Genomic DNA, 5,273 nt, shown 5'->3' with positions numbered 1-5,273 from the left:
TAGAATAGCTTTTTCTAATTCTGTGAAAAATAGCATTGATTGATAGAAATAGTATTGAATCCACAGATTGCTTTGAGCAGTATGGCCATTTTAATGATATTAATTTGGCATTTTTCTCTTTATCCTTAATGTTATAAACTCTTGCCATGATGTATATACATTTACTCTTACAACTATCCTTCTCAATAATCAAATTGAATATCTGATTAAGGATGTGTGCCCTGTGTTAAATTCTGAAACATTCTCAACTGTTTTCCCTTCAAATTTTCAGCCTTTCTTCCCATTCTTTTTATCTAGGCCTGTGACTAGTTATAGGGAGTGGCCTCTCAAGGTACCCTTCATGGATTTCAATACCTGTAAGATCTTACCACATTAATACATAGGAATCCACTTCATTCTTTTTGGCTACTACATAATATTACATGGTACAAATAGACTATAATTTATTTAATCATTCCTCTATTGATGAACTTTTTTATCACTCACCATACTTGTATTACATAACCCATTTTGCCAGATTGAACCACGATACCTAGTTAGGTTTGAATTTCAAATAAGTCAAAATTGTTCAAAATACTAAGTTTTGATCTTAAAATAGTATCAAAGTAACCTTATTTTAGTTGATGGCTATTTGGGTTGTTTCCAGTTTGGGGCTCTTATGAATAAAGCTGCTCCTAACATTCTTGGACAGCTAATTTTGTGGACTTAAGCATCTCTCTTGGGTGCTCTCTTTTTTGTTGGCACTCTATTTTTCTTATATGACTTCTTTCATTTGTGATTAAAGAGATTCTAGGATAAGTTAGAAGATAAACTTTTTGCAGATAGGCATTTGCCAAGACAAGGTTACTTTTTAGAGATAGGGTCTTATCATGCTACCAGGCTAGTCTCAAATTCAAGGCCTCAAGCGGTTCTCCCACCTTGGCTTCCCAAAGCGCTGAGATTACAAGCATGAGCCACTACACCCAGCCTGTCATTACAATTATATAAAACCAAAAATATATTGTCAACAGTTTAGAGGCAAGAATATTGACATATTAGCAGTAATTTTTCTATGATAACAGTCCTAGTTATTTACAGATTCCATATTTGCAAATTTACTTGCTTGCTAAAATTTATTTGTAACTCCAAAATCAATTTTCATGATCTCTTGTAAACATTGACAAAGCAGCAAATTATGTGAGTCACCTAAATTGTATTCTCCCAGCTGAGGTCAAAAATGAGACTATCTTTTTGTTCCAGCTCACATACTATAAACAAGTATCCTTTTCTCGATCTAGACAATACCACATTTTTAATTTTTGTGCTTTTTATTAGTGATTCCCCTACTTAAAATGGTCCCTCAGCATAGTGCTGAGGTGTCCTCTAGTGTCCCTAGTTGCAAGAATACTGGGATGTACCTTACAGAAAAAAATATGTACATTAGTTAAGCTTTGTTCTGATAAACTATAGTGTGGTTGGTCATGAGTTCAAGGTTAATACTCTATATATATACATATACATTTATATATACATATACATATATATACACATACACACACACATATATATATATATATATATAAACTGTCTTTAAACAGAAACACACATAAAACAAGGTTATATATTAATCGATGGATGAAAATATTGTGACCAGAGTCTGACAGGCAACTAACCTTGTATTTCTCCTAGAAGTAATGGTTCAATGTTTGCTGATGCAGTGTTCCAGGAGACTTTTATGGGATATAACTACCACAACTAAAAATCGACTATAGGGGAGAAAATTAGTGAACGTAGAGATCGCAGTGGAGAAGAAAGTAGGAAAGAGCTTTTAACTTTCTTGCCCAAAGTTACCTTCTACATATTTACTACTCTTATTACTAATTGAGCTATTTTTCAAGGGCACGGCCACCCGCGAAACCGAAAGAGCTAGGTTTGAGGTGGTTTTTACAATGCCACTTTAACAGTGAATGCAGGTGATGACATGCTTCCACCTGCCCTTGCAGGACAGTAGACTAGGAATCATATACAGGTAATGGGGACAAAAAGGAAGACCAACAGAGCTGACAGAAAGTCCTGCCTTTAAATAAACAGGACACCCAAAAAAACAGTTGAAAACATGTGACTCTTTTGGCAATGTTGCAGTTACTAGGAAAGCCCGGTTAGCAATATCACTGTCACTCAGTACCCCTCGGATCCTGACAGATGTCCATGGACTTTTCTTGACGGCAACCAGCCCCTTCCCACAGATCAACTTTTAAAACCTCAGGCAGGTGAAGACACAATTTCTTCTGAATACCAAGCTGTGTAACTCCCCAGCGTCATCTATATCTCACTTCTCTTAAATTCTGGCTGCAGTGATCAGATAAGGCTTAAGACAACACAAAATTAAGCATGAAAACTATATCAGACCCATAAGCCATAGGCCACTCTCCAGCCAAAAACAAACAAACAACAAAAAAACACTTACATAAAAACTTTTAAAAAGAAGCAATGTTACCCATGATAATGGTGTTGCACTTAAATTGCTCAATACCACCTTTCTGCTTCACTACGTACAACACTCATGATTATTTGATGGGTCTGTAAAGGGTTATTTTCTATATCTAGACATTTGCATTATAGTTAGGAGATTTTAGAAATGTTTTTTCCAAGACTTACCATTAAAGAAGCAACAACAGGCTGGGAGCAGTGGCTCACGCCTGTAATCCCAGCACTTTGGGAGGCCGAGACGGGCAGATCACGAGGTCAGGAGACCGAGACCATCCTGGCTAACACGGTGAAACCCCATTTCTACTAAAAATACAAACAAAATTAGCCGGGCATAGTGGCGGGCAACTGTAGTCCCAGCTGCTCAGGAGGCTGAGGCAGGAGAATGGCGTGAGCCCGGGAGGCGGAGCTTGCAGTGAGCCGAGATCCCGCCACTGCATCCTGGGCAACTGAGCAAGACTCCGTCTCAAAAAAAAAAAAAAAGCAACAACAAAACTTCAGTCTCACACCTACAAGTTTACTTTGGTTGTTACTCTTTAGTTTGGCTGATATGTGTCCAGGAAATTGTTATTTAAAAGAAAAAAAATAGGGAGGAGCCAAGATGGCCGAATAGGAACAGCTCCGGTCTACAGCTCCCAGCGTGAGCGACGCAGAAGACGGGTGATTTCTGCATTTCCATCTGAGGTACCGGGTTCATCTCACTAGGGAGTGCCAGACAGTGGGCGCAGGTCAGTGGGTGCGCGCACCGTGCGCGAGCCGAAGCAGGGCGAGGCATTGCCTCACTTGGGAAGCACAAGGGGTCAGGGAGTTCCCTTTCTGAGTCAAAGAAAGGGGTGACAGACGGCACCTGGAAAATCGGGTCACTCCCACCCGAATACTGCGCTTTTCGGACGGGCTTGGAAAGCGGCGCACCGCGAGATTGTATCCCACACCTGGCTCGGAGGGTCCTACGCCCACGGAGTCTCACTGGTTGCTAGCACAGCAGTCTGAGATCCAGCTGCCGGGCGGCAGCGAGGCTGGGGGAGGGGCGCCCGCCATTGCCCAGGCTTGATTAGGTAAACAAAGCAGCCGGGAAGCTCGAACTGGGTGGAGCCCACCACAGCTCAAGGAGGCCTGCCTGCCTCTGTAGGCTCCACCTCTGGGGGCAGGGCACAGACAAACAAAAAGACAGCAGTAACCTCTGCAGACTTAAATGTCCCTGTCTGACAGCTTTGAAGAGAGCAGTGGTTCTCCCAGCACGCAGCTGGAGATCTGAGAACGGGCAGACTGCCTCCTCAAGTGGGTCCCTGACCCCTGACCCCCGAGCAGCCTAACTGGGAGGCACCCCCCAGCAGGGGCACACTGACACCTCACACGGCAGGGTACTCCAACAGACCTGCAGCTGAGGGTCCTCTCTGTTAGAAGGAAAACTAACAAACAGAAAGGACATCCACACCAAAAACCCATCTGTACATCACCATCATCAAAGACCAAAAGTAGATAAAACCACAAAGATGGGGAAAAAACAGAACAGAAAAACTGGAAACTCTAAAAAGCAGAGTGCCTCTCCTCCTCCAAAGGAACGCAGTTCCTCACCAGCAACGGAACAAAGCTGGATGGAGAATGACTTTGACGAGCTGAGAGAAGAAGGCTTCAGATGATCAAATTACTCTGAGCTACGGGAGGACATTTAAACCAAAGGCAAAGAAGTTGAAAACTTCGAAAAAAATTTAGAAGACTGTATAACTAGAATAACCAATACAGAGAAGTGCTTAAAGGAGCTGATGGAGCTGAAAACCAAGGCTCAAGAACTACGCAAAGAATGTAGAAGCCTCAGGAGCCGATGCGATCAACTGGAAGAAAGGGTATCAGCGATGGAAGATGAAATGAATGAAATGAAGCGAGAAGGGAAGTTTAGAGAAAAAAGAATAAAAAGAAATGAGCAAAGCCTCCAAGAAGTATGGGACTACGTGAAAAGACCAAATCTACGTCTGATTGGGGTACCTGAAAGTGATGGGGAGAATGGAACCAAGTTGGAAAACACTCTGCAGGATATTATCCAGGAGAACTTCCCCAATCTAGCAAGGCAGGCCTTGCTAGATTCAGGAAATACAGAGAACGCCACAAAGATACTCCTCGAGAAGAGCAACTCCAAGACACATAATTGTCAGATTCACCAAAGTTGAAATGAAGGAAAAAATGTTAAGGGCAGCCAGAGAGAAAGGTCGGGTTACCCTCAAAGGGAAGCCCATCAGACTAACAGCAGATCTCTTGGCAGAAACCCTACAAGCCAGAAGAGAGTGGGGGCCAATATTCAACATTCTTAAAGAAAAGAATTTTCAACCCAGAATTTCATATCCAGCCAAACTAAGCTTGATAAGTGAAGGAGAAATAAAATACTTTACAGACAAGCGAATGCTGAGAGATTTTGTCACCACCAGGCCTGCCTTACAAGAGCCCCTGAAGGAAGCGCTAAACATGGAAAGGAACAACCGGTACCAGCTGCTGCAAAATCATGCCAAAATGTAAAGACCGTCGAGACTAGGAAGAAACTGCATCAACTAACGAGCAAAATAACCAGCTAACATCATAATGACAAGATCAAATTCACACATAACAATATTAACTTTAAATGTAAATGGACTAAATGCTCCAATTAAAAGACACAGACTGGCAAATTGGATAAAGAGTCAAGACCCATCAGTGTGCTGTATTCAGGAAACCCATCTCACGTGCAGAGACACACATAGGCTCAAAATAAAAGGATGGAGGAAGATCTACCAAGCAAATGGAAAACAAAAAAAGGACGGGTTGCAATCCTAGTCTCT

General features: G+C 41.9%; 2 annotated features.

Annotated features, from left to right (window-relative positions):
• Nucleotides 790-990: a silencer, noted in NCBI's record as "peak4138 fragment used in MPRA reporter construct". NCBI's record gives its function as "represses an SCP1 promoter by STARR-seq MPRAs in K562 erythroleukemia cells {active_cell/tissue: K562}" and the evidence as "EXISTENCE:reporter gene assay evidence [ECO:0000049][PMID:32103011]".
• Nucleotides 3,280-4,114: an enhancer, noted in NCBI's record as "H3K27ac-H3K4me1 hESC enhancer chr20:6301432-6302266 (GRCh37/hg19 assembly coordinates)". NCBI's record gives its function as "activates a minimal SCP1, AML or CMV promoter by ChIP-STARR-seq in naive H9 embryonic stem cells {active_cell/tissue: H9 hESC(naive)}" and the evidence as "EXISTENCE:reporter gene assay evidence [ECO:0000049][PMID:30033119]".

Source organism: Homo sapiens, chromosome 20 (genome assembly GCF_000001405.40).
Source record: "Homo sapiens chromosome 20, GRCh38.p14 Primary Assembly".
NCBI lineage: Eukaryota > Metazoa > Chordata > Mammalia > Primates > Hominidae > Homo > Homo sapiens.
The sequence above is the reverse complement of the archived record's forward strand: the minus strand, read 5'-3'. Positions and strand labels throughout refer to the sequence as shown.